The sequence below is a fragment of the Homo sapiens genome, chromosome 5 (genome assembly GCF_000001405.40).
Source record: "Homo sapiens chromosome 5, GRCh38.p14 Primary Assembly".
Taxonomy (NCBI): Eukaryota; Metazoa; Chordata; class Mammalia; order Primates; family Hominidae; genus Homo; species Homo sapiens.
In genome coordinates, this window is record NC_000005.10 from 132,812,689 (window position 1) to 132,838,447 (window position 25,759).

At 52.9% G+C, this 25,759-nt stretch overlaps 2 protein-coding genes across 12 annotated transcripts, besides 8 other annotated features; one reads left to right on the forward strand and one right to left on the reverse strand.

Annotated features, from left to right (window-relative positions):
* The first annotated feature begins 613 nt into the window (after positions 1-613).
* SOWAHA (sosondowah ankyrin repeat domain family member A) lies at positions 614-4,098 on the forward strand. The gene has a single exon (NM_175873.6). The coding sequence runs from the start codon at positions 934-936 to the stop codon at positions 2,581-2,583; it is 1,650 nt and encodes a 549-aa protein (NP_787069.4). The 5' UTR covers positions 614-933; the 3' UTR covers positions 2,584-4,098.
* Positions 1,649-1,718: a silencer, noted in NCBI's record as "silent region_16338". NCBI's record gives its function as "represses an Ori minimal core promoter by ATAC-STARR-seq in GM12878 lymphoblastoid cells {active_cell/tissue: GM12878}" and the evidence as "EXISTENCE:reporter gene assay evidence [ECO:0000049][PMID:35858748]".
* Positions 1,758-2,258: an enhancer, noted in NCBI's record as "H3K4me1 hESC enhancer chr5:132150138-132150638 (GRCh37/hg19 assembly coordinates)". NCBI's record gives its function as "activates a minimal SCP1, AML or CMV promoter by ChIP-STARR-seq in primed H9 embryonic stem cells {active_cell/tissue: H9 hESC(primed)}" and the evidence as "EXISTENCE:reporter gene assay evidence [ECO:0000049][PMID:30033119]".
* Positions 2,259-2,759: an enhancer, noted in NCBI's record as "H3K4me1 hESC enhancer chr5:132150639-132151139 (GRCh37/hg19 assembly coordinates)". NCBI's record gives its function as "activates a minimal SCP1, AML or CMV promoter by ChIP-STARR-seq in primed H9 embryonic stem cells {active_cell/tissue: H9 hESC(primed)}" and the evidence as "EXISTENCE:reporter gene assay evidence [ECO:0000049][PMID:30033119]".
* Positions 7,600-7,679: a silencer, noted in NCBI's record as "silent region_16339". NCBI's record gives its function as "represses an Ori minimal core promoter by ATAC-STARR-seq in GM12878 lymphoblastoid cells {active_cell/tissue: GM12878}" and the evidence as "EXISTENCE:reporter gene assay evidence [ECO:0000049][PMID:35858748]".
* Positions 9,453-17,959, reverse strand: SHROOM1 (shroom family member 1). 11 transcript variants are annotated; one of them, NM_001172700.2, is made up of 10 exons: positions 17,906-17,959; positions 14,773-14,919; positions 13,589-13,899; positions 12,475-13,494; positions 12,330-12,385; positions 11,927-12,133; positions 11,162-11,731; positions 10,935-11,076; positions 10,562-10,834; positions 9,453-10,440 (listed from the first exon to the last, which is right to left on the reverse strand). In NM_001172700.2, exons 4-10 carry the CDS (start codon positions 13,450-13,452, stop codon positions 10,108-10,110), a joined length of 2,559 nt encoding a protein of 852 aa, NP_001166171.1. In that variant the 5' UTR covers positions 13,453-13,494; positions 13,589-13,899; positions 14,773-14,919; positions 17,906-17,959; the 3' UTR covers positions 9,453-10,107. The 11 variants fall into 11 exon arrangements, with proteins under 11 accessions (NP_001166171.1, XP_047272687.1, XP_005271942.1 ...); XM_047416731.1 differs by lacking the exon at positions 13,589-13,899; XM_005271885.5 differs by having other exon boundaries at positions 13,589-15,265.
* Positions 12,833-12,972: a silencer, noted in NCBI's record as "silent region_16340". NCBI's record gives its function as "represses an Ori minimal core promoter by ATAC-STARR-seq in GM12878 lymphoblastoid cells {active_cell/tissue: GM12878}" and the evidence as "EXISTENCE:reporter gene assay evidence [ECO:0000049][PMID:35858748]".
* Positions 13,023-13,322: a silencer, noted in NCBI's record as "silent region_16341". NCBI's record gives its function as "represses an Ori minimal core promoter by ATAC-STARR-seq in GM12878 lymphoblastoid cells {active_cell/tissue: GM12878}" and the evidence as "EXISTENCE:reporter gene assay evidence [ECO:0000049][PMID:35858748]".
* Positions 17,328-17,637: a silencer, noted in NCBI's record as "silent region_16342". NCBI's record gives its function as "represses an Ori minimal core promoter by ATAC-STARR-seq in GM12878 lymphoblastoid cells {active_cell/tissue: GM12878}" and the evidence as "EXISTENCE:reporter gene assay evidence [ECO:0000049][PMID:35858748]".
* Positions 17,848-18,267: a silencer, noted in NCBI's record as "silent region_16343". NCBI's record gives its function as "represses an Ori minimal core promoter by ATAC-STARR-seq in GM12878 lymphoblastoid cells {active_cell/tissue: GM12878}" and the evidence as "EXISTENCE:reporter gene assay evidence [ECO:0000049][PMID:35858748]".

A 25,759-nucleotide genomic window follows, 5' to 3' on the forward strand; every position in this document is an offset into this window, starting at 1 on the left:
GTGGAACAAACGAAGGTTTAAAACCATGGCATGACTCCGCATTGCTTTCTTACTTTAAAGCATAAACATACATACACACATGGGAGACAGGGAGAGGATATTTCAAAATGTTAATGGTGATTTCAAGTGATTTTTTTTCCTTCTTTATGTTTTCCTCTATGTTTTCCTGTTATGTTTATGTTTCCTGTGGTTTTATACCCCAAATTCTACGTGAAAATGTATTCTCTTACCATGAGAAAATTGCTTTTGAAAACGTCTCTCTAAACCTAGAGTAACGTGCATTGCCGCGCAGAGTGAATTGGTTTTGCTGTAAATCTCATGAAGCCGTTTTCCTGCATGAAACACAGTAAAAAAAAAAAAAAACTGGAGTGGTATTGACGACCTTTAAAAAAAAAAGATTGTTCTGAAATCATCGCTTGGTGTTTTGCAGTGGTTAAATGTTTATTAAAGGAATAAAAATCCATTCCTCCTTGGCGGACCGCGGCGTCCCTAGGGAACACACCCACCTAGCAACCGAGACCAGAGCTGGAGCGCTGCGCCTTTAATTCTGGGGCGGGCGGGGGGCGGCGGGAATTTCTGCTCCGGTTCCCTCTGCATCGCGGGGGCAGCTGTCACCTGTAAGGCGAGCGCGGCGCGGGGGATGGAAGCAGGCGCCCATTGGACAGAATACAAAGGCAGAAACCTACCCCGAAGGCCGGGGCCCGGCGGGGCGCTGGGGGTGGGCGCTCCCCGCGGCCCCCGGCGCCCTTCGCCCCGAGACGCCCCGGCCCAGCGGCACTGGCGCGACCGAGGTCCAGCTTCGGGGACACGCCCGGCTGGCCGCGGGGAAGGCACCAGGTGAGCGCGGCCGCGCCTCCCGGAACCCCGCTCCCGCGCGTCCCGCGGCGACGCGGCGCCCACCCGCCCCGGGAGCCAGGAACCCAGGGCCCCACCATGGCGCTGGCCGCCGCCGCCGCCGCTGCGGCTGCCGGGGTGAGCCAGGCGGCGGTGCTGGGCTTCCTGCAGGAGCACGGCGGGAAGGTGCGCAACTCCGAGCTGCTGAGCCGCTTCAAGCCGCTGCTCGATGCCGGCGACCCGCGGGGCCGCGCCGCCCGCAGGGACCGCTTCAAGCAGTTCGTCAACAACGTGGCGGTGGTGAAGGAGCTCGACGGCGTCAAGTTCGTGGTGCTGAGGAAGAAGCCCCGGCCCCCGGAGCCCGAGCCCGCACCCTTCGGCCCCCCGGGGGCAGCGGCCCAGCCGTCGAAACCCACTTCGACGGTCTTGCCGCGGAGCGCCTCTGCCCCGGGAGCTCCGCCCTTGGTCCGGGTGCCGCGGCCAGTGGAGCCGCCAGGGGACCTGGGTCTGCCAACAGAGCCACAGGACACCCCGGGGGGGCCGGCCTCCGAGCCCGCTCAGCCGCCCGGGGAGCGGTCCGCCGACCCACCGCTTCCAGCCCTTGAGCTAGCCCAGGCCACCGAGAGACCCTCCGCAGACGCGGCCCCACCGCCTAGGGCCCCTTCTGAGGCGGCATCGCCCTGCTCTGATCCGCCAGACGCGGAGCCCGGGCCCGGGGCAGCGAAAGGGCCGCCGCAGCAGAAGCCCTGTATGCTGCCGGTGCGCTGCGTCCCGGCCCCCGCCACGCTCCGCCTCCGGGCGGAGGAGCCCGGCCTGCGCCGGCAGCTGTCGGAGGAGCCGAGCCCGCGGAGCTCCCCTCTGCTGCTGAGGCGGCTCTCGGTGGAAGAGTCCGGTCTGGGCCTCGGCCTGGGCCCGGGCCGCTCCCCGCACCTGAGGCGCCTGTCGCGCGCCGGCCCGCGTCTGCTGAGCCCTGACGCCGAGGAGTTGCCCGCCGCGCCGCCGCCGTCCGCGGTGCCCCTGGAGCCGTCCGAGCACGAGTGGCTCGTGCGGACTGCCGGGGGCCGCTGGACCCACCAGCTGCACGGGCTGCTGCTGCGCGACCGCGGCTTGGCGGCCAAGCGCGACTTCATGTCTGGCTTCACGGCCCTGCATTGGGCCGCCAAGAGCGGCGACGGCGAGATGGCGCTGCAGCTGGTGGAGGTCGCGCGGCGCAGTGGCGCACCAGTCGACGTGAACGCACGCTCCCACGGCGGCTACACGCCGCTGCACCTGGCTGCACTGCACGGCCACGAGGACGCTGCCGTGCTGCTGGTGGTGCGTCTGGGTGCCCAGGTGCACGTGCGTGATCACAGCGGGCGTCGCGCCTACCAGTACCTGCGGCCCGGCTCCTCGTACGCGCTGCGCCGCCTTCTTGGCGATCCAGGCCTGCGAGGCACCACGGAGCCAGATGCGACCGGTGGTGGAAGTGGCAGTCTTGCTGCCAGGCGCCCCGTACAGGTGGCCGCCACCATCCTCAGTTCCACCACCAGTGCATTTCTGGGCGTCCTGGCTGACGACCTCATGCTCCAGGACCTGGCCCGAGGCTTGAAGAAGTCGAGCTCCTTCAGCAAGTTCTTGAGCGCCTCGCCCATGGCTCCACGTAAAAAGACAAAGATCCGCGGTGGTCTGCCAGCCTTCTCAGAAATCTCTCGTCGACCTACTCCGGGGCCTTTAGCTGGTCTAGTGCCCAGTTTGCCTCCAACAACCTGAAGGTCCCTGGGGCTACCACCTGGTTGATCTATCGTGGCCTGCTCGTCGCAGTCCAAACCCGCCCAAGACTGCAGCCCAATCAACGCCTGGAGCCTCATTCTGTTTCCAGCTTTGTCCAGGGCAGCCTGTTTTACCCAGATGGGCCTGCACCTCCAGCTTCTTTCTGAAGCATGACCCATCTCCAGAGATGGGATTTGAGAAATCAGTGAGAGCTTCCTATAAAGAACTCCAGGAGACAGGCCTGAACTCTAGAGGGAACTTGAAATCCAGGGTCAAAGGTTAAGGGGCAGCAGCTGGTCTGGCCCCTGAAAGCCTTCACCTGATGCCTCTGCAGCTACACAATCCCAAGACAGAGCTAGAGCAAGGGTCTCTTTAAATGTTGAAAGATGTTAGGTTGTCAGCTTTAAGATATGTGGTGGTTTTGTAATTTGATGCTTTTATTCTGTTTTTAAATTGAAATGAGGTAATGCAACTTTCGTAATAACCTTTTGGAATTATATTTTTCCACTTTTAGGCAAAGTGCTTAGACATTTTCAATTTTTTTTTTGCTAAATACTTTGGAATTCTATTTAAAAAATAGATGATCAAGATCTAAAGGAAATTAATCCCAACCAACAAACTTAAAAGTTTATCTACCTCGTTTTAGGCAATCAAGATTCTGGAGAGTCTTGAACACAGAATAACGATTGTGACCATTATGAATGTAACTAATTTCAGTTGTACTGTGAATGCTAAATATTTGCAAACAAGTACATCTTGAAAGTAAAGGTGACTTAGAGAAAAGAGACATTTTGACAGATACTTTTAATTTGTGGTTGTCTCCATCATGAAATAGAAACGTGTTTGGCACTTGTGGGTGGCTATTTTGATTTGGCATGACTACTTAATTTTTTAAAAAAATTGTGGTTTGTGAATTGCACCTTTGTGCCATGTTTCTGAATCTGGTTTTCAAATCCAGTGGAGCCTTTCAGTGAAATAGGTGACTATTAAAAAAGTAATAGTATTACAGAAAAATGAGCGATTAAATAGTAATGGATACAATTAAGGAGCAACTATTTTATATGACTGTTCTGTACAAACAAAAAGTATGTAATACCCATTTTAAAAAACCATTTGAAAGTAGACAACTTATTCCAAAATAGCAAATGCAGAATCTCTGCTCAGTGAGCTTGGATGAGTGGCTTAACTTCTCTGGGCCTTTGTTCCTATCTGTAAATGAGAAAGTTTGTAGATATTGCCAAGATTTCCCAGGCTCAATACAGTGTAATTATTTTATGTTTTAAAGATATGAAATCTGTTTACTCAACCAATTTTTTAAATGTCATATTGTGATAATGCTCTGCTTTTGCAAATTGTGTTTGCATGTCATTAGTTATATCAAATAGTTTTGTGGCATGGGGTAGTGGAGCTTCCCTCCCCACCCCCATATGTATCAGTGAAGCCTTTGAAATTACTTAAGGCAGTCTTTCATGGAATGTTTTGATTGAGCAATGAAATAAACAGTCCTCCATTTTGTTTCTGCTTGAGTGGTGATGTACTTCCCTTAAAAATTGTACAGTTTTTGCTATTGTATTTTTCTTTTCTTTTTATCTAATTTCCTTCATTCTTCTGCCTCTTTCAAGCATTCTGTTATTGAAAGAAGTTGGATTGCTCTGCAAAGTAAAGGAGTCAACCACACATGGATATCGTAATGGAGAACTGTAGATAAATGTGGGCCCTGATGTGACCTTCCCACCTTCCTTGCCTGGAACTCTGCATAAATTATTTTAAAATGCAAATTAAATCTTCTGCCTCTGCTGAAAAATTGTAGGAGACACAATTATAGCAATTGGAGTAGCTGACAGTCTAGAAAACAGAATAAAATACTAGAGATTTTCCATGGTAAAAGAGACACCTGACTCAGACAGGGCCTCAGACAAAGGTCACAGACACAGGTATGACCTGCCTTGATAAAGACAACGTTTAAACCAGCAAAGTAGTAATAACAATAACTAATGTTTATTGCACACTTAAATCAGAGGAGGGTCATTTGAACTGCCAGAAGAATCTATGTGTTTCAGAAGAGTGTGCTGCAAGCCTTCCAAGTGAAGTAAAACATTTAGCAAGAGTTTAGGATCAATATACCTAAAGCTCAGGTGTTAGAAAACACTGCTTTTCCTTGCAGGCCAAAGCTTTCTGCAACTATAAGGTAAGCCGATAAGAAATTATAGTTTCATACGCATAGGGAAAGTTTTTAAGAATCATATATCACCTAGCAGGAGGCACACCGTTAGAAGGGTATTTTCAACACTAACAGAAAATAATTGTGAAGGCAATTTAGCTGACAAGAATTGTCACAGGGACGAAATCACGCCTTTTAATGAGGGAGAATTGTTGATGTAGATGGGTATGAGTCGTATCCATAGCAAGCTTTTAAGTAAAGTTTTACATATCCTTTAATGGAGGTTGGAGGTTATTCTTAAGCATGTCTCCCTTACCTAATGGAGATCCAGGGTAATGCATATACTGTATAACCTGTGCTGATTAAGTGCCAGGCACAATTCGAAACACTTTGCAGGTATTAATCGCAAGTTTATAAGGTATGTACTATTTGTATCTTGATTTTAAAGTGAGGAAACTGAAGCCTAGAGAAGTCATAAGTTACTTGTCTAGGCCTCACAGCTAGTAAATGCAGAGCTGGAATAGTCTCCTGGTTCTCTTTTTCATGACACTGTCTGCTATCCTATTGCAGGAAGCAGGGTGGGCTCATCTCAGCCCTTTTTACTCATTTAGTGTCTTTGGGCAAGTCACCCAGCTCCCCAAACTCCATCTTCCCTGTCTACGGGACAAAAGGCTTCCTGTACCTATTTCACAGGCTGTGGGGGAAGGAAGAGCACGTAGAATGAGTGGATAGAGCTCTTTATGAACTGCAACACCAATGTGGGGTGCCGAGTTGGTTCCAGGGGGTAAATGGCTGCATCCCAAAACCAAATAGCTCTGATTTGTGGATCTGCTTTACATGATCATTCTTTCTTTTTTTTTTTTTCTTTTTTGAGATGGAGTCTCGCTCTGTCACCCAGGCTGGAGTGCAGTAGTGCAATCTCAGTTCACTGCAACCTCTGCCTCCCGGCTTCAAGCGATTCTCCTGCCTCAGCCTCCCAAGTAGCTGAGATCACGGGCACGTGCCACCATGCCTGGCTAATTTTTTGAATTTTTAGTAGAGATGGGGTTTCACCATGTTGGTCAGGCTGGTCTCAAACTCCTGATCTTAGGTGATCTGCCTGCTTTGGCCTCCCAAAGTGCTGCGATTACAGGTGTGAGCCACCGTGCCCTGCCATGATCACCATTCTTTTAACATGTTGGTGATTGTATACATAAGTAACAATCGACTCTACTAGGAAAAATGTATTCCCACAAGAGGGAAATTATCCCATATTCTGTACATGATATCACTTTAGTTAAAATAGAAATAATGTCTTTCTAAACTCACATTCCTCTAGCATTCCTACTCCTACCTTCCAGACCTAACCACTGCTATTCAGCCACCTGAGCTGGAGTGCAATGGTGGGATGTCGGCTCACTGCAACCTCCGCCTCCCTGGTTCAAGCGATTCTCGCTTGAAACGATTTCCGTGCCTCAGCTTCTCGAGCAGCTGGGATTACAGGCGTGCACCACCACGCCTGGCTAATCTTTTGTTAGAGACGGGGGTTTCACCATGTTGGCCAGGCTGGTCTCGAACTCCTGAGCTCAGAACTCCTGAGCTCAGGCAATTAGCCCGCCTCGGCCCCCCAAACTGCTGTGATTACAGGCGACAGTCAGCCTGTATTTATAGGCGCCTGGCCTATACTTAGATTCTCTTTTGCTCTCCAGATAGCCTTTTGCCTTGAACCCGCCTCACCTGTTTGGAACTGCCACACCTCCAGACTTCAACCTGGGGCCGGGGTGCCTCAGGTGTGCCTGCAGGGAAGAAAAAAGAAAGCAGAGACATCGAGATCTAGATTCTCTCCTCAAAGAAAAAAAAATCCTCCTCGTGGGAAGTGGGTGCTGATTTAAACATCAAAGACAACAGGTAAACGTCCATTGTGACCTTCCACGCTGTAGCTAGGCTGACAGCAACACTATGGGGTCCTCAGCAATTGCCGCCTCCCGCCTTCCTGCGCCCCCAAATGCCCCTTTCACCTGTTTCTCTCTGCAGCCCTCAAACACATTTGACCTAAATTTCCTGAGCTCCTGGTTTACATGTGAATGCACAGCACGGCAATTTGTTCCAATGAGGAGCCCTGAGGTTTGCGCCAGCCGCTCTCAGGGGTAAGTTTTGTGCCGAGCAGGATGTTCAAGACAGACTGCGCGCCGGTTTCGGGCACCGCCGAACATGGCTTCCCTGTTCCGTTTCTAATTTACAGCCTGAAGGTAAAAAGTACACTGATTAAATCCATGTTAGGAGGAGCAGCGGGGGCGGAATAAGCGAGCTGGGGAGGCGGCCGCGGGGCTGCCTGTTGCCCAGCAACGATGCCAGCCGCGGCCTGTGCTCCCCCAAAAGCCCGAAAGCACCGCGGCAGGCAGCCAGGAAGGAGGATGGGGCAGGGGTGCCGGCGGCTAAAGGAGATGGGGGCGCAGAAACCCCTATAGGGACCCATGCAACCCGCTTTCTCACCCTGGGAGACTACGCAAGGCTTTTTTGTTTTTTTTTTTTTGTTTTTTTGATACTTATGTTCGAAATCAAAAAGTGCACTGATCGAATCCGTATTAGGAGGATATGATTTAATCAGTGTACCGTTTAAATCCCCCCACACCCCTCCCCCCGACTGCCCTCTCTCCCACTTCTCATTGGCCAGCAACTTTCCAACAAAGGCCCAGTGGCAAAGACAGCCAGCCTTTCCCTGCCTGGCTGGTCAGTTTCTTTCTGAAAGAAGCAAAAGGCTCAGCTCCAGCTTTCGGGCCTAACTGCTCAGCAGGGCAAGTCAAAGTCCCTGTGGCTGGCCCAGAGGGCCTGGTAAGCTGGAGAAGCTGCGAATGGCGAAGCGTAGGTACCAGCTTTCACCATTAGGACAGCGCCCTCTGCTGGCAGTATCCTGAAGGGTCAGTTCACCGGGCTTCTGGTCCCCACAAAGTCTTGAAGTCTGAGGTGCTGATAACGGAACAAATGTGGTGAGCTCATTCTTGCCCTCTGGAGAAATAACGATATGGAAGGGAGAAAACTGGGGCAAGAAGACCGAGGGAAGATAGCAGGTCCATTGCAGGAGGTGTGGCCTTATTTTTGGGATTCTTCTGATCTGGCAAGGACGAGCACAAAAGCCTCATATTTATTTCCCCACGGAAAAACCCAGCGCACAACCAACGTCCAGTTTAATGGGAAGATGGAAGATGCCCCTACTCCTACCCCTGTGCTCCCCACGCCCAGCCGGACTGGGGAAGCTTTATTTGAAATACACAATTCCCATTGGCTGAATGGACATGTTAGCTGTGTTTCTTTTTTTCTTTTTTCTCTTTTTTTTTTTTTTTTTTTTTTGTTTTTGAGACAGGGGTCTCACTCTGTCACCCAGGCTGAAGTGGTGGAGTGTATTGGCGCGGTCTCGGCTGACTGCAACCTTCACCTCCCAGACTCAAGTGATCCTCCCACCTCAGCCTCCCAAGTAGCTGTGTTTCTAAGAATACCGCAACGGAATAATGCAGTAGGGTGCATACAGGGCAAAACGCAGAAATTAGTAGCTTCCATCCAGAACATGTCTCTGGGTGTGTTTACTAGGCTAAAGACCTTGGAGCAGAGGCCCTGCCCACTGTGTTCAAAGGGGCAAAGCAAAGCATAATGTTAGAACCCGCAAAGGCCTCAGCAGGAGCCCCATATGTTTTTTATAAAAAGGCATAATGTGAGCATTGTTCTGTGCTCAATAGCACAACTGTTATAACAAACGCTTTTGGTATGAATACAACCATTTAAAATTCCCAACCAGTTGCACTTGGTGACAATACGCATCAGAAAACAAGCCCAGGAGCACAGATTTCTCACTTGGGGGTCAGTTGGCTATAAATGCACATAAACATGCCTTTTAATGTGCCCAACTTCCAAAAATACACTGAATATTTGTGGAACAATGTTGTTGGCCCCAGCATTTGCAGCTACAAAGGCTGAAGCAGATTTCAACATGTATATCTGAGAACCTAACTTTGATTCTATATACATGGGGTGGATACACAAGTTGAGGAGTCCTATGTGTCATACCACTCCAGCCCCCAACTGCCCACGCCCAACCATGGCCCACCCTCAGATTACAACCACTGCTATGTCTCCAGGTCCTTAGTCCCAGCATGGAGGGTCTTGAGGTCTCCCACCCCTCACCTTCAGCTCCCACCCTCGACTGCCCGCCTCAGGCCTGGCTGACCCAGTGGTATCTCTGAAGGAGAGGAGGATAAACAGTGTTGATAACATAACTGGAAGAAGAAAGTGCTTTCTGGGTCTTGGAATGAATGTCCCCAGATGTCCAAGTATTCTGAATATTTGTCAGGGCATTTAGGCAGCACAGCATCTGAGCCCATTTCAGTAGCTTGAGTCTTGAAAGGAGACAGGACTCCTACTTCTCTACTGAAGCTGGGATGTTGGCTAGAAACCAGCTACAGAATCTGGACTCAGCCAATCAGACCTAGGCCTTTGTGGCTGTGACACAGTCACTGGAACAGTTAGGAAATACTGGTGACAGTGGAGTTGAAAGCGCAGTATTCCCCTGGTCCCTCCTGTTTTCAAGCCAGGTTCTCCAGACTAACTAGACATTGGCAGGGTTGACTGATATTCTGCCAGCAAATCCCTCTTCTGCTCTAGTCAGCCAGGGCTGGTGACTGTGTAAACAAGACCCCTCTCACTCCTCCCACAGCTGTGCTGCAGATGACACACACACTTCTCTTAACAATTTTTATTGAAGAAAAAATAGGCTGCTTTGCACCTTAAGTGCTCCTCTGTCTTCTCTCCTCCCTCCAACCAACCCCTGCCAGCCCCACACTCTCATCACAAAATGGGGGAATACTGCAGTTTTTAAGATCCATAAATTAATTACCAAATAATACACAAGACCTGGGTGAGGCCACATGAGAACACTTTGGAGAAGTATCTTTTTTTTTTTTTTTTTTTTTTTTTTTTTTGAGACGGAGTCTTGCTCTGTCGCCCAGGCTGGAGTGCAGTGGCGCGATGTCCGCTCACTGCAAGCTCCACCTCCCAGGTTCACGCCATTCTCCTGCCTCAGCCTTCCGAGTAGCTGGCAATACAGGCACCCGCCACCACGCCCGGCTAATTTTTTATATTTTTAGTAGAGACGGGGTTTCACCGTGTTAGCCAGGATGGTCTCGATCTCCTGACCTTGTGATCCGCCCGCCTCGGCCTCCCAAAGTGCTGGGATTACAGGCGTGAGCCACCGCGCCCGGCTGGAGGAGTATCTTAGAAAGGCCTGGACTGGGTCCTCCCCAATCCCTCAAGGGAAAAGCAGAGACTAAATCAGCATCACCCCACTTACGTGGGTGAGAGATAGGGGCGGTGCACCCCACCCTCTCCACCTATAACTATGTAAGGAGAAGAGGGAAGGGCGGCTGAACTGGAGGACAGGTCCCTGGGGGCCGCGCCGGGCTGGGAGACGGGGCATGATGGCCAAGGTCGTCCCTGATGGCGTCCAGTTGGTCCTGAAGGAGGCGGATGCGCTCGTCCAGGTTGCGCTGCTGGGCCAGGACGGCGGCCTTGCCCGCCAGCAGGGCGCAATAGACGCGCAGCTCCTCCACCGGTAGTGCTCGCACCAGCACCTCCCGCACGGCCCGCTCGCGCCGCGCTACGTGCTCCTTCAGCTCCTTGGCGTCCTCCTCCTGCCGCTGCAGGAGCCGGAGTCGCTGCAGCAGGGAGGCCTTGAGCCGCAGGAAGAGGCGCCGTGAGCCGGGTGAGGGCGCCGCCGCTCCCGGAATGGTTCCAGCCGGAGACAGCAGGCCCCTCACCGCCCTACTCGCTTGCAACCTGAACCCCTTTTACCTGCTCATCAGGGTCGCTGTCTGAGGCCGCCCGGGCCAGGGCGCGGCGCACGCGCGCCAGGCGACTGCCCAGCAGCAGCAGAAGGCCAAGCACGCGCTCTAGGTCGGCCATGAACCGGCTGAACCGCTCCAGCTCCTGAGGGGCACAGGCCTGGCGCACTGCAGCCTCCAGAGCCGCTTGGCGCCTGGCCCACGCTTGTGCCTCCCCCTGCAGCCGCTCCTGCTCCGTGTGAAGGTCCTGAAGCATCTTTTGGAGGCGGGCGGCCAGCTCCACCTACAGGGAAGGCTCAAGGCTGGGGCCAGGCTCATGACTTCCCTGCCCAGGCTCTGGGCTCCTACCCACCCCCAGCCTCCACCAGCCCTTCTCCACTCACTTTCTTGCCCTGGATGCTGTTGTTTGGTGCAGGGAGCCCCTGCCCACATGGCTGGTCAAGCACAGGGTGGGTGGCAGGGTTTTCAAGCCTTGTCTCCTCCCGAGGAGCCGGCAGGAGCTGGGTGAAGCTGAACTGATAGGACCTGGGAACAAAACCAGAGCTCCCTGGGTTTCCTGTCCCCAACTTCAGGGGCTCAGTGTCCAGATTCCCTAGTACACCTCACTCACCCTGGCTCAAAAGTACTGGCAGCCTCCTCTCCAGCCTCCCCACAGGCAGGCCGCATTGCAGCCCGGACCTCTGCTAAAGGAATCAGTCCATCCAGCAGGCCCAGGGGTGGCTCTGGGCTGGGCTGGGAAGCAAGAGGGTCACATAGAGAGGGATCTAATCTGGCCAGCTCCTGAACCAGCTCCTCGAGGCACTGACTAGGCCATGTGGGCCTGGAACCAGGCTGGCCAGTGCCCCTGGCTAGGGCAGTATTGTGAGAGGGACCTGGAGTATCATTGCCTGAAAGTCCCAAGGCATCAGCTGGGACAGGTTTGAGGAGGTCACTCTCTGCAGCTGTGGGGGGATTGGTGGTCAGTCCAGTGGGGTCAATAGTTGGGATGTTATCATTTGCAGTCCCAGTGGGGGTGTGGCTTGTGGGCCTGGAAATACCTACAGAACCATTCACCCCCTGCCAGCAGTCATCTGCCCCTGCAGTTCCTGGACACTCATGGAGCGGGTACTCTGTGGGGACTGTAACCTGGCCAGTTCTTTGGCCTAAGCCAGTTCCATACGGCTGGTCAGAGGCATGGACACTGGAAGCAGAAAAGACACTGAATCAGAAAAAGCTCCAGCCACAAACAAATGGTGGCCTCCAAGGGCCATCTGTCCCTACCCCCATCACCTGGAATCCCAGGCTCCAGCTAGGAGAGCATTCCCACCCCTCTAGCGTTTTGTAGATGTGTGTGTCAGGGGGTGCCTCACGATGCTTGGAAGCAAGAGGGAATTACCTGGCTGGGGGCCCCTGGGAGGCATGGGGGTCTGGTGGTGATCTCATTCTGACCAGTGGGGCCTCTTCTAGGAACACTTCATCAGGAAGGGAGGGGAGCCAGGCAGGCACAATGCAGGTCTCTGAGACCCTCTGTTCACTGTCAGCAGGGCTGCTCTGGGGTAACTCTGCAGGATACATCACCGCAGCCTCTTTCTGAGGCAAGAACCTGGAGGCAGGGACCCCATAGTGACCACAGTGAAAGGAAGGAAGCTCTTGGTGTTGCACCAGGGAGACAGTAGGGTATTTTCAAAATAACCAGAAGGCTCAGACTGAGGGTAGGTAGGAAGCCCTTTCATTTTTTGGGCAAAAGCTATGCAAGCTGCTTCCCCCCAACTTGGTCCAGAGTGGTCCGTGTCTCTCACCTGGAAAGTTTGGTCTGAAACAATGGTCTGGGGGTTTCTGCTCCTTGGGGAACAGCCTGGAAGGGTGAACAGTCGACTGAAATGTGGCTCAAGTTTTGTTTCCCAGATGCTCCCCTCACCAGCCTGCATCTCCTGACTTCCATACCTGGACAATGGGTATGGTCCCTCCTGATCCTCCCCAGGAACCCAAGACTTCGCCTGAAGCGCTCCGACTCCGACTGGCGGGCCTGAAGGCATCACCGAGCTTCAAGGACCCGGAGTCCAGGTTCATGGAGCCTTGGGGTTGCGTCTCGGGCAGCCATCCGACCTCGTGATCTTCAAACTTAGCCAGCGCCGGATGCTGGAACTCCAAGGGCTCGGGCCCAGGGAGGCCAGAGCTGGAGCAGGCCTCACCCAGGCATTCCCGCGCCGGCCCACCGCCCCGACCCACACGATCCAGCTTTCCTGGCTCTGAGAAGCACCACTTCCGCTGCTGGTTGGCGAGGGGACCCCGGCCGGCAGTTCCTGGCGCGGGAGCCCGGGAGCGCGCCGGCTCCCCCTCCCCGCCCGGGTGGCTGAGCGAGGCGGAGCGCGGGTGAGTCGCCGGGGGCCGCGCTGGGACAGTGGGCCGCAGACGGGCGGGCAGGCTCATGCGGAGCTCCTTGCGCTGGAACGACGTCTCCCGGAGCACTCGCCGCTGCGCGCCCTGAAGCCGCTGGCGGTAGGCGGCCCTCGAGGCCGGCGGGCTGGGCGGCTCGGCAGCCTGCGCCGCGGCCTCCGCCTCGGCCGCCAGCGCGTACAGCAGCGGGGTGGCCTGCCTGTTCAGTGGTCCCGGGGTCCCCGGGACCTCTGTTGGCTGCGGCCCACTGCGGGCTGCAACCGCGGGCCGGGGCCGCGGGGATGTGCAAAGGGCAGCGTCGGGCGGGGCGGGGCCCGGGCCGCCCCAAACCACACGCACGTAGTCCCAGTCTAGGTAAGGAAGGAGGTCTGTCCCCGGCGACTGCGTGCGCGGCTCGGGGCCGCCGGAGGCTGCGGAGAAAGAGCTGTAGGCCGAGTCCGCGCGCATGGACAGATGCCACAGGTCCAGGCTGCTAGTGGACGAGGCCGGGGAGGCGCGGTCGCCCCCAGGTCCCAGGGCCTCCATGGCTGCGCAGATGAGTGCTGAGGCTGGGTGGCTGCGTGGGTCCTGGGAAAACACAGATGTGGTGCCGGGTGAGGAGCTCCGGGTGAGGGCTGGGACAGCCTGCTGGCCCCGCCACCACGGACGGCCAGACACTTACACTTCCCCTCCCTGGTCACACCGTCACAAGCGCTGGCATCCCCCAGATTTTGGCAGAGTCACCTTGGGATCAGAGGTGGCAGAGGAAGTAGGACCAGTCCCAGGGAGCACCTCTGAAGGTTGAGGGCCCAGCTCAGGGGAAGGAATTGGGACCAGCTCATTCCCTGCCAGGCTCCCCTTGCCCACACAAGCAGCCTTTACCCTGAGACCTCCTGGAACGCTGAGAATGTACCCATGTTCCTTTCCTCCCCAACCCTGTTCCACCCAGGCTGCTTCCTGGCCGTTCTGTTGGCTTCTCCATGTGATCTTTCCCTGATAAACAATGGTCAAGAACACTCTTGTGACCTCAGGGGAGCTAAGAAAGGAGGGGTGGGGGAAGACCCAGGGCAAGGGGCAGAGGCAGCTTCACAGCCTTCCTCCCTCCCTCTGTGCCTGTTATGTTCCAGGTGCTTTATATAAATATTTATTTTGATCGTTGCAACTGCTGTCTGCATTTTACAGACAAGGACAATGAGGTTCTGAGAGGGAAATGATTTGTCCAGGGCCACACAGCTGGGACGTGGCAGAAGCCTGCCTGGAATCCAGGCCTGCCTCCACGCTCACTGCAGCCAGAATCAATTTCCTAGAAGCAAGCCCTGCTGAAAGGCAGTTTACCATCCCTCCTGTTCCCCAACAGCCTGAATCCTCCAAGGAAGCCCACACTCCACTATGGGAAAGTCACCCCTACCTCCCCATACACTATTGGCAGATTCCAAAATAATCTGGCCCCCACTTCTCAAACTCTGCCTTTCGTCTAGGAATGATGGGCCGACCCCCATCTTTGCCCTGCTTCTATTCTTGCTTCTCCTGTAGGACTCAGCTTAGAGGTCTCCTCACTTTTTGGGACTCCTACAGTGTGCTGAGCTGACCCCCACCCCACACTGTCCCTGTTGGCTTGCTTCTGATTCCCTCCTCCCATTCCCACCCCTGAGCTTCCTGAGAATGGGCCCTGCTCTTCCTCATTGCTGCACTCTCAGTGCCCAGCAGAGTCCCTGGCATACAGTCAATGTTAAATATTTGGGCCGGGTGCAGTGGCTCACGCCTGTAATCCCAGCACTTTGGGAGGCCGAGGTGGGCGGATCACTAGGTAAAGAGATCAAGAGCATCCTGGCCAACATCGTGAAACCCCATCTCTACTAAAAATACCAAAAATTAGCTGGGCGTGGTGGCACACGCCTGTAGTCCCAGCTACTCGGGAGGCTGAGGCAGAAGAATCGCTTGAACCCGGGAGGCGGAAGTTGTAGTGAGCCGAGATCGCGCCACTGCACTCCAGCCTGGCGACAAAGTGAGGCTCTGTCTCAAAACAAAACAAAACAAAACAAAACAAAACAAAACCCCAAATATTTGCTGAATGTCAAGGGAAATAACAGATTTGCAGGGAGTAGATGTAGGGGTGGCCTTGGTAGAGAAGGAAGAGAGTTCCTTAGCTTCTGCGCACGCTTCTTCCCTCCCTATTAGTCTTTTCTGGGGAAGAGGACAGAATGGGTGAAGCACTTGCCACCATAGACACTGGCCAGGTTCCTCATGCAATATTAGGTACGAACAGAGCAGGCAAGCACAGCTTGGGGCAGGACTCACCAGAAATCAATCCCTTCTGGTCCTGGGAGGGGGATCAAGGGTAAGAGTTGAGTGGGTGTGCCTGGGTCAGGGTAAGAGAAATTTTGAGGCTTGGGAAAGGGCAGTGTTGAGGTTTGGGGCTCCCTATGAACTATGGAGACTTTTGGGCGCTGGCCTCCATTCTCTGAGCTGCTTGGTAGGGAGTGCAGAGTAGGGTGGCCCACGGCTAGGGTGAGGACCAAAAAGCAGGCTTATTTGAGCCTCCTAGACACTATCTGGAGCTCAGAGTCACCCTCCACCCACGTCCCTGAGGCCCAGGATGTTACAGATTGCTGGTTAGGGCAAGGATGGGGGTTAGTGGTAGGAGGATATGGTGTTTCCTAAAAGGGAAAGGCAGTACCTACAACATTCCCAGGAGAGGCTCTCAGCAGACCTAGGACCAGAACATCTTGATGTCACCCACCTGGGGGCATTTGTATATGCCTACTAAGCCCAGGAGCTTAGCCCTCACACTTAGGGTTGGGGACCTCTTTTGCAAAGTATTTCCACTCTAAACTTTAGGAGGACAAGAAACTACTCTGAGTAGCAGCTCCTGGGAGGACAGTCCCCTCATCTAGGAAGCCCACCCGACTGCTCAGACATTAGCCCTTTCTCTTCCTACTCTTTCTGAGTCCAGCTTGGGAGCACTAGCTCATGTCACCCATCCTGCCCATTTTGGCTTGCTGCAGCTACAGATGGGGATCACCAAACACAAGATGTTTCCTCAAAAGAGGTCTTGAAAATCTATGAAAATCTATCTTATTTGTGAGTTACTATGTTAAAGGATTCTGAATTCAGCAAATAAAAACAGCTTGAATGGGCAATAAAAATGTGTCTACACATGTGTTTCCTTATTGACTGTAACTTGTTGAAGATGCTTTTGCACTGGTGGCCCTATCAGGTTGATGTTCACGCAGGCTCCTCACAGTGGGTGCTTTGCAGAACCTACCATGCCAAGAGGGCCCAGCTGCTTTGGTGTGTTTTGGGGGGCCTCAGCACAAAACAACAAGGCATTTTCATACTTGTCTGGCTGCAGGGAGCCTCTTGCAGTCCAGCCAGCCCCTGTGGCTGGGGGTAGCCCTACCTTAGGGGTCCCTGCCTCAGTGGCAGTGGTACCTGTGGGCTGGGCTGTTATGCCTGTGCCGGCTGCTGAAAGGGAGTTCAGAGGTGGAGCTCAAGGAGCTCTGCAGGCATTTTGCCAAGCCTCTCCAGAGCAGAGGGAGCAACCTAGACTCCCCGCTAGAAAGACACCAGATTGGAGTCCTGGGAGGGGGAGTTGGGGTGGGCATTTGATGTATACTTGTCACCTGAATGAAGGAGCCAGAGAGGAAGGAGACGAAGATGAGATTGGCCTTCAAAGCTAGGGGTCTGGCAGGTGGAGGCACCAGTCTGAAAGGAGGAGCTGGGGCTGAGGAATTGTCAAGGGGGCCAGTGCTCCTTCAGTCTGGGCTTCATGGTGTCTGTGACAAGTCAGGCAGCAGTTGGGATGTGGCTCTGGAGTTCAGCAGGGGAGGGTAGACCAGGCAAGACCCAGGTTTTTAGTTAGAGGTTACTGGGGAAATAGCTGAAGACAGTTTCCGGTGGATAAAATCACACCAAGGCAATGGGAACAGATCCAAGTAAGGCGACCGAGGAGGCACAGGAGAACGGACAGCCTCAAATACAACGAATGATCAGGATTTACATCATACCTCCCTCAAGGCCACCTCACATCTGACCTCTCTGTGGAGGGGCTATCCAGGCCGCCCCTCCCAGCGGGTCTTCCCTCAGTACTGGGCTCACTGTGTAGGCGCTGTCTCCCTGTCAGACTGAGTTCCTGGGTACTGGACCACGTCTCAAAACCCAGTACCCGCAGCTGGGTCTGGCTAGGCGGACGTTCTGGGAAGTTCACCGGCTCTCCCTGTCCCCAGCGTCCCCCGTTCTCCCAGCCTGTCCGCGCTGACAGCGCACCCCACGCAGCATCCACGCTCCGAGTGTGCGACTGGTTTACGGGCTCATCGGTCGCTGCACCCCAGATGCAGAGTCTCTGGAGACCCGAGCTCCGTGCCATGCACAGGAAATGCAGGAAGCTGGCGACACCCGGGGAGAGGCGGCCGCGGGCGTGGACAGACCCGGTTACCTGGGGTTCAATCTCTGGGAGCCGAGGCACGGGAGGGAGAGAGGCGCAGGCCCCGGCGGCCGCAGGGGGCGGCAGAGACACGCGGAGCGGCTCGACAGCAGATGGCCGCAGCCCCGCGCAGTTCTGGGCCTTTCCCGTTGGGTTCACCGTCGGGGAAGGATCGCGCGCAGGGGACAGCGCGAGCCCGGGAGGGAAGGACCCGGCTTCTCCAGATGCTTGGCGACAAAGGGCAGGAGCGGAGGGTGGCGGAGTGAGACCGCGCTGCCCGCCGGCGCCACACGCGGCGCGCCCAGCCGCGCCCCTGAGCCGCGCCGCCAGCTTAGAGTGGGCCGCCTCTCCGCCCTGCAGCTCTGCAGCTGGGAGAGGCGCGCTGGGGTCCGACTCCACTGGCGCAACCTGACGCGGCGCCGAGCCAGACACGTCCCGGCCGAACGATGCCCGGGCTGCCCCGCGACCACCGCCTCGCCGCCCGCTCTTCACCCCCGTCCGCCCGCAGCCCCGCCGGCCTCCCGGGGGAAGCGGACCCAGCCGCCCGCTTCCCGCTCCCCCGCCCCCGCCGCGTACCTGAGGCTCCCGCCGAGACGCGCTCCTGGGCCGTCGCAGCCGCGCGGTGACATCAGAGCCCCGGGCTCTGACTCCGACCCCACCTCCAGGCTCCGGCCGCGGCCTCAGGGGAGGCGCCACGTCCGGCCGCGGGGGCGGGAGCCGCAGCCTCTTGGTAGCGTCCGCGCGCCGGCCCAGTCCCAGGTCTGAGGGTGGACAGTGCGTTCCCGCGCGGGCCACAGGCCTCTTGCCCCAGGCCGGAGAAACCTGAGCGAGGTGGTGGGAGGGCGACTACGGCGACCGCCCACCGGCCTCCAGCGCGTCCGTGATGCTCGGGGGCCGGGTCCCTCGGGGCCTGACACCTCCCTCGGTGGGGAGGTCCAGGGCGGGCCCTTAGGCGCCTGACGGCTACCCGCTTTCCCCCCCAAGCCCGGCCAAGAAAACAGAGCTGCCAGGGCCTCGTGCCTCCCACCTGTCCCGCTGAGTAACTCGGCCCTTGATCAACTCTACCCCCAGACCCCCATTTCCAAAACTCTTCCAGCTCTTTGACTCCCACCATGGGCTCTTGTCTCCTGTTCCCTGTCCCATTTCTTTCCATTTCTCCCACTACCCAGCATGGTCTGGGCCCTCCAGCCTGCTACCGGGGTGGGGGAGAGGGGGGCGGAGCACGGGGAAGCCCCTGGACTTGTGTGCACCTTAGCTGTCCTGAGTGTGTCCTTAGGGAGCTGGACATATGCATACCCACTAAGGCTGGACACTGGCGCTCGAGGCCCTCACCTTCCAGGATCTCCATTTTCCAAAGAACGCTCTGCCTGCACCTGCCACTGAGCTCTCCTTGCTGTGTCCTCAGGCTCCCCTGCCCCGACTTCCCAAACTCTGTCCTATGAATACCACTCTGCCAAGAAATGCTCCGTTCCTGAGAGGGGCTGGGGACCCTTTGATGAGCCTCTCCGGCTCTCAGGTCTCTGCCTTTGTCCTCCGCTGCCCTCCCGCTCCCACAGGATCAACAGGGCTGGGCTCAGGGGCTGTGTCCTCCCATGGTAGTATCCCTGGCAAATAAAGGTTTATTGGTGTTAATAACCAGGACTCTGAACTCTGGCCAAGAGTCAAGGTTGCCACTTCCTAGGGACACTGGGAGCCTGAGGAACTCTGTCTTCTTGGGTCTTCTTGGGTTCGGAGGCAGGAGACACCTGAGCCCGACTTCTGAGAGTGGTGCCCGCTGGGCCCTGCTCCTTCTTCAACACCATCTGGACTCAGGCACCAGCTTCAGCTGGAGCGCTAGGCTTTAAGACAGTGCCTAAGAACCTTTCGGCTTTGAAAGACTTTTGTTGTTTGTTTTGCTTTTTTGAGACAGAGTCTCCCTCTGTCGCCCAGGCTGGAGTGCAGTGGCCGGATCTCTGCTCACTGAAACCTGCGCCTCCCAGGTTCAAGCAATTTTCCCTGCCTCAGCCTCCCAAGTAGCTGGGATTACAGGCACCGGGCACCACGCCCAGCTAATTTTTGTATTTTTAGTAAAGACGGGGTTCGCCATGTTGGCCAGGCTGGTCTCAAACTCGTGACCTCAGGTGATCCACCCACCTTGGCCTCCCAAAGTGCTGGATTACAGGCATGAGCTACCGCACCCGGCCTGAAAGACTTTTAATATTTTTAAGACCCTGATCCACAGAGTCTCACAGCAGCATCAAAATAGAAGAAAGACAGCCCAGCAAACAACAACAAAAAATTTTTAATTGCTCATGTTGGCTGGGGCGGTGGCTCATGCCTGTAATCCCAGCACTTTGGGAGGCCAAGGTGGGCAGATTGCTTGAGCTCAGGAGTTCGAGACCAGCCTCGGCAACATGGCGAAGCCCTGTCTCTACAAAAATACAAAAAAAAATAGCTGGACGTGGTGGCACGCACCTGTAGTCCCAGCTACTTGGAAGGCCTAGGCACAAGAATCGCTTGAACCGAGGAGGCATAGGCTGCAGTCTGCCGAGATCACGCTACTTCATTCCAGCCTGGGCAACAGAGTGAGATTCTGTCTCAAAAAAAAAAAAAATGGTTATGTTTTTTACTTATATTTCTTGAAAACTATGGGGACACAGTGTCCAGAACAATTCTATTAACCCACTCCACCCACCTACCACTCACCTCTTGCACACACTACAGCACCTCTCTGCTAGGGACCATGAGGACGCAGTCCAGAGCGATTCTTATTAACCCACTCCACCCACCTACCACTCACCTCTTGCACACACTAAGCAACTCTCTGCTAGGGACCATGAGGATGCAGTCCAGAGCGATTCTTATTAACCCACTCCACCCACCTACCGCTCACCTCTTGCACACACTAAGCAACTCTCTGCCTAAGTCCCCAGAAAACTGAAATCCCACCTACCCACGTCTCTCTTAACCTCTTCTGTTCTGAGAAAGAGAAAAGTAACCCCTAACATCTGAAAGGCCCAGCTGGACCTTGGTGTTGCCAGAATTTGACCTGACATTCACAGCAAGGCCTTACTGTTGTCCCATTGGACATAAGCCATTTCACAGGGCATCAATGTGAGACAGGGCCGTTCTTTAACAATGATGGATCAAGACAAAAACAACAGCACTCTAATCATGTCTAACACATACAAAAGCATGAACATTGTCCAAGTCACAAAAATGACCTAGCTAATGAGTGCCTGCTGTCCTAGCTAATGTGAGTACCTGCTGCTTCTTTACCAATTGCAGCTTTAGCCTCACTCTAATCATTCCTCTTTCTAGATAAGATTTATTAATATACCCAATCATAGAATTACTCTTGCTTCTTGACAGCATCCAGCACAAAGGAAAGTTCTGCTTCTTTAACCCTCTTGAAAAGCACTAACCCAAACCCAGATCCTCTAAGTCCTTTCCAATGCTCTCTTCCTGAGATGCCACGTGGTTTCCCATGCTACGTGTCCTCTCTCACTTCAACAAGCAATGAACCCAACTTGTTCAACTACAGGTGTGCTCGTGGTGGTCTTTGGCTAGGGGGCACTGATACTTCCTATCTCATTATTACAAAAGCACAGAGAATCTTGGAGAAGAGAAGGGGGAAGAAACTGCCACAAAGCTGGAGTCTCCCTTAGTGATGGTGGTTGGGGGGTGAGTGTGCATGGAGAGGGTGGAAACATGCACATATGCTTCCAATACATAAAGAGAGGTGTCTGCACCCTTCAGTATCTCAATACTTTCTCAGGCCTGGGGGAGTTCTTTTGAAGAGACCCTTAGATGGCTGTGTTTAGCTGGGATTAGAGCCACAGACCTTGCTGTTCCTGGCCAGGCCCTATATCAAGGAGCTGATAGGTGGGGAGGTGGTGGGCCTCCACTCCACATAGTTTGGCACTTGTAATCTGAACTGATGACACCAAAGCAAAGCAACTGCCCACCTCACAAGTCCCTGTGGTTTCTTGCTTTGATGCCCACTCTCTTTGTTGGATATGGTTAATGTGATGTGACTATGAGTGGAATACTAAAGACCACTTCTTTAGTGCCAAGCACTGTGCTAAGTGCTCTATGTATCTTTTTAGCCCTCTTACTCCTCAGAAGTAGGTATCAGTATAACCCCATTTTACAAGTGAGAAAGCTGGGACTTAGAGACATTATTTTGTCAAGGTCAGGTAGCTAATAAGCAGTAGAGGCAATACTTAACCCCCTAATGTCTGGTTCCAAAGGCCATGCTGTCATGTAAACATGAGCAGTGTAAAGAACTGTATGTTGTGGATATCAATGCAGCCTTCCTAGGAGAGCAGGATTTGGACTTCAGATTGAGCAGAACTCGCAAGCGAGCGGGAAAGATGAGACAGTAGCAGCAGTGAGACTCCAAACAGGACTTCCCCATCTCTGTGTGTCCCCAACAGTCCAACACATATGAGGGCTTAGTTTCATATATGATTTCCAGGGGTTTATTGTAAAGGACTTATAAAAACATTTCTTTCTGTAAGTACTTTTTTTTTTTTCAATAGAGATGGAGCTAGGTGTAGTGGCTCACACCTGTAATCCAAGCACTTTGGGAAGCTGAGGTGGGAAGATCACTTGAGGCCAGGAATTCGAGACCAGACTGAGCAATGCAGTGAGACCCAGTCTCTACCAAAACAAAATTTTTTTTTTTTTTGAGTAAGAGTCTCACTCTGTCACCCAGGCTGGAGTGCAGTGGGGTGATCTCAGCTCACTGCAACTTCCGCCTCCTGGGATCAAGTGAGTCTCACGTCTCAGCCTTCCAAGTAGCTGGAATTACAGGGGTGTGCCACCACATCTGGCTAATTTTTGTATTTTTAGTAGAGATGGGGTTTCACCGTGTTGCCCAGGCTGGTCTGAACCCCCGACCTCAGGTGATCCACCTACCTCGGCCTCCCAAAGTGCTGGGATTACAGGCATGAGCCGCCGTGCCCAGCCTTCACCTTTATTTTTTTCATTTGAAAGTATATCTTAGAGTTTATTCAAAGTAAGTACATAGGTTTTCTTGTTTGTTTGTTTGTTTTTTAAGACAGGCACATAGCTATGCATTGCATGGGCACAAATAAATTGGGTTAAATAACCCTATTATTGGACATTTAGATTAATCCAGTCTTTTGCTATTACTATTTTAGTAACAAATACCCTTGTTCATTTATTTTTGTTCACATTTGTAAGTCCACTTACAGGATAAATTTCTAAAAGATGAATTGGTGGGTTAAAGTGTAGGTAGTAGATTGTACTTTACAAAGACAATCATGAAAAAATTTTCCACCTCCCAAGCTTTTCTACAATGTGACTTTGCCACTACTCTACCCAGAAGAGGTGAGGTCTATTTCTCCATCCCCTTGGATAATGAGCTTAGGGGTGACAGTAACTGTTTTGACCAACAGAATGTAGCAGAAGGTATGTTGGGCTAGTTCTGGACATAGCCTTTAACTGGCCTGGTAGCTTCCACTTCTTGCCTCTTGGTAGTGCTACTACTCTGAGACCACTAAGCTATGAGAAATACAAGCTATATGGAGAAGCCCAGGAGTATGAGATAGCATGTGGAGAGGGAAAAGAGAGGCCAAGGAGCACTTAGGCATTGCACAGGCAAGTAACCAGGCCATCTTGGAAGCGAATCCTGCAGTGTCAGCCACCCCCGCTGACACCATACTGATCAGAGAAGAATTCCGCAGCCTAGCTCTTCCTGAATTTCTGACCCTCAAAAACATGAGCACAATAATTATAAAAGTGCAAACTACTAAGTTTGGGGGTAGTTTGTTACATGGTAATAGACAACTGTAACAGGGTACATGAATTTTCTATTTTGATTGATATTGTCAAATCACACTTACAAAGAGGCTATACCAATTTACAGTCCCATAAAAAATGTATACAAGCACACTGAGATGGTTTAGATCTGTGTCCCCACCCAAATCTCATGTTCAGTTGTAATCCTCAATATTGGAGGTGGGTCCTAGTGGGAGGCAATTGGATCATGGGGGCAGTTTCATCATGAATGGTTTAGCACTATCCCTGTTGGTCATGATAGTGAGTGAGTTCTCATGAGATCTGGTCATTTAAAAGTATGTGGCACCCACCCCTCCCCCTCTCTTGCTTCTGCTCTGGCCATGTAAAGGGTACCTGCTTCCCCTTTGCCTTCCACCATGATTGTAAGTTTCCTGAGGCCTCCTCAGAAGTGAGAATCTGCATTTCCTGTACAGCCTGCAGAACCGTGAGCCAATTAAACCTCTTTTCTTTGTTAATTACCTAGTCTCAGGTATTTATTTACAGCAGTGTGGGATTGCATTAATACACTCACTAACACAGTGCATTATCAACCTTTTTTTAGACGGGGTCTTGCTGTGTTGCCCAGGCTGGATTTGAACTCCCAGGCTCAAGTAATCCTCCTGCCTCCGCCTCCCCAGTAGCTGGGACTACAGGTGCACACCACTGTGCTTGGCCTTTTTAGCTTTTAAAGTGCCATGGACCATCCTGGCAGCCTTAGTCCAGGTCAGAGTGTGTAAGTGTTCCCAGTGCCATTGAGACTTGGGGTGATCCCCTTTGCCCACCAGTCTCTGTGGGACCAACCCCTGCCCTCTGGGGCCTCAAGTTTCCCTTCTGCAGAATGAGTGCTGTGGCCAACAGCTCCTGGGCCTGTCCCCTGCAAGCAGCCTGCCCCTGCAGGCACATGCCACCATGCCTAGTGCATTATCAAACTTTTGGATCTCTGAAATCTGAAAGGTAAAAATAATATCTGTCTTAATTTATATTGCATATATTATAAATTAGACTACACACCATTTTGTGTATTTTAAAGCCATTTGTATGTGATCTGGGATCTGTCAATTTTCTTTGCTCATTTTTCTATTAGATTATTGGTCTCATTGATTTGTAAGACCTCTTTAGGGCTGGGCACAGTGGCTCATGCCTATAATCCTAGTAGCATTTTGGGAGGCTGAGGTGGGCAGATTGCTTGAGCCCAGGAGTTGGAGACCAGCCTGTCTCTACAAAAGATTCAAACATTAGTTGGCCATGGTAGCACATGCATGTAGTTCCAGCTACTCCAGGGAGCTGAGGCGGGAGGATCACCTGAGCCCAGGAGGTTGAGGCTGCAGTTAGACATGATTGTGCCACTGCATTCCATCCTGAGTGACAGAGTGAGACCCTGTCTCAAAAAAACAAAACAAAAAAAAACCTCTTTATATATTAAGGTGATTAACACTTTTTCCTATGTGTGGCAAATATTTTTCCAAGTTTGTGTCCTTTGATTTTGTGTGTGGTTTAACAGTGGATCTGTAGTTCATAGGTGAAGCAACAGATGTGGTTTTGTTTTTTTTTTTTTTGAGATGGAGTCTTGCTCTGTCGCCCAGGCTGGAGTGCAGTGGCGCAATCTTGGCTCACTGCAAGCTCCGCCTCCCGGGTCCACGCCATTCTCCTGGGACTACAGGCGCCTGCCACCACGCCCGGCTTATTTTTTGTATTTTTAGTAGAGATGGGGTTTCACCATGTTAGCCAGGACGGTCTCAAATCTCCTGACCTCGTGATCCGCCGGCCTCGGCCTCCCAAAGTGCTAGGATTACAGGTGTGAGCCCCCACACCCAGCCCAGATATCTTTCTTTTAGGCAGCAGCTACATAGCTGGGCTACATAGCTGTCTCAATAATTCAGAGATGGTAATGTACTGGTTAAAGTATATTAGAGGTCAGAAACCTTTCAACAAAATCATGTTGTTTATTTTTAGAAATTCAACAAAGCGTGAATTATTGCTTATACACAAATGTCTACCTAAACTGTAAATGTTCTTCTGGGGTAAGTTTGTTTGCTTTCCGATTATGCACTGAATTCACCACAGTTGTCTAAAGATAGGGCTTTATAGGAAAGTAGAAAGTGCACAAGAAGGAAGTGCAGGGAGAATGAAGATTGCCTTCGCCGGTGGGGACACCTGACAGGCAGGGCCTCTTGGTGAGGCTGGGTGAGGGCTGACTGTTCCAGAGATTGAACCAGATTCCCTTTCAGATCAGCACTTCCTGGAAAGGAGTGCTGGGCTGTCACATCCCCATTAAGTACACATATGTCACCTTTTCCCTGCAGACATTGGGTGACACCCAGCCTCTGTTTGCTTTGGTCAGAATGACTTAACTTTTCTACTCCAGCCTGGCCCCCAGCCCCAGGCCTGAAACCATTCCATCCTTGTGGTCTTCATTCAGATGTTACTCACACATCCTTGGACAAAAGAGGATTCATGAAAAAGATGGATACAGGCTTCTTCTTCTCTGCCAACTTCAGTGGGCCCCGGACAGATAGGTGTGGGCAAATAAGCTTTTCCACTTTGCTCTTCTGGTCCCCTAAGGTTCATTTTGGTTTTCAAGAAAAGAAACTATCTCAGGCTCTGAACTCGGCCCCAAAAGCATTGCTTAGAGAAGGCAACAGC

Excerpts from the sequence above, each read along its gene's own strand:
- SOWAHA (NM_175873.6), top strand. The coding sequence starts at position 934 with ATGGCGCTGGCCGCCGCCGCCGCCGCTGCGGCTGCCGGGGTGAGCCAG.
- SHROOM1 (XM_047416730.1), bottom strand. The coding sequence starts at position 13,452 with ATGGAGGCCCTGGGACCTGGGGGCGACCGCGCCTCCCCGGCCTCGTCC. Across the intron at positions 12,386-12,474 it reads GGACCATACCCATTGTCCAG|GCTGTTCCCCAAGGAGCAGA; the intron begins GTATGGAAGTCA and ends TCACCCTTCCAG. Across the intron at positions 12,134-12,329 it reads TTTCAGACCAAACTTTCCAG|GTTCTTGCCTCAGAAAGAGG; the intron begins GTGAGAGACACG and ends CCCTGCCTCCAG.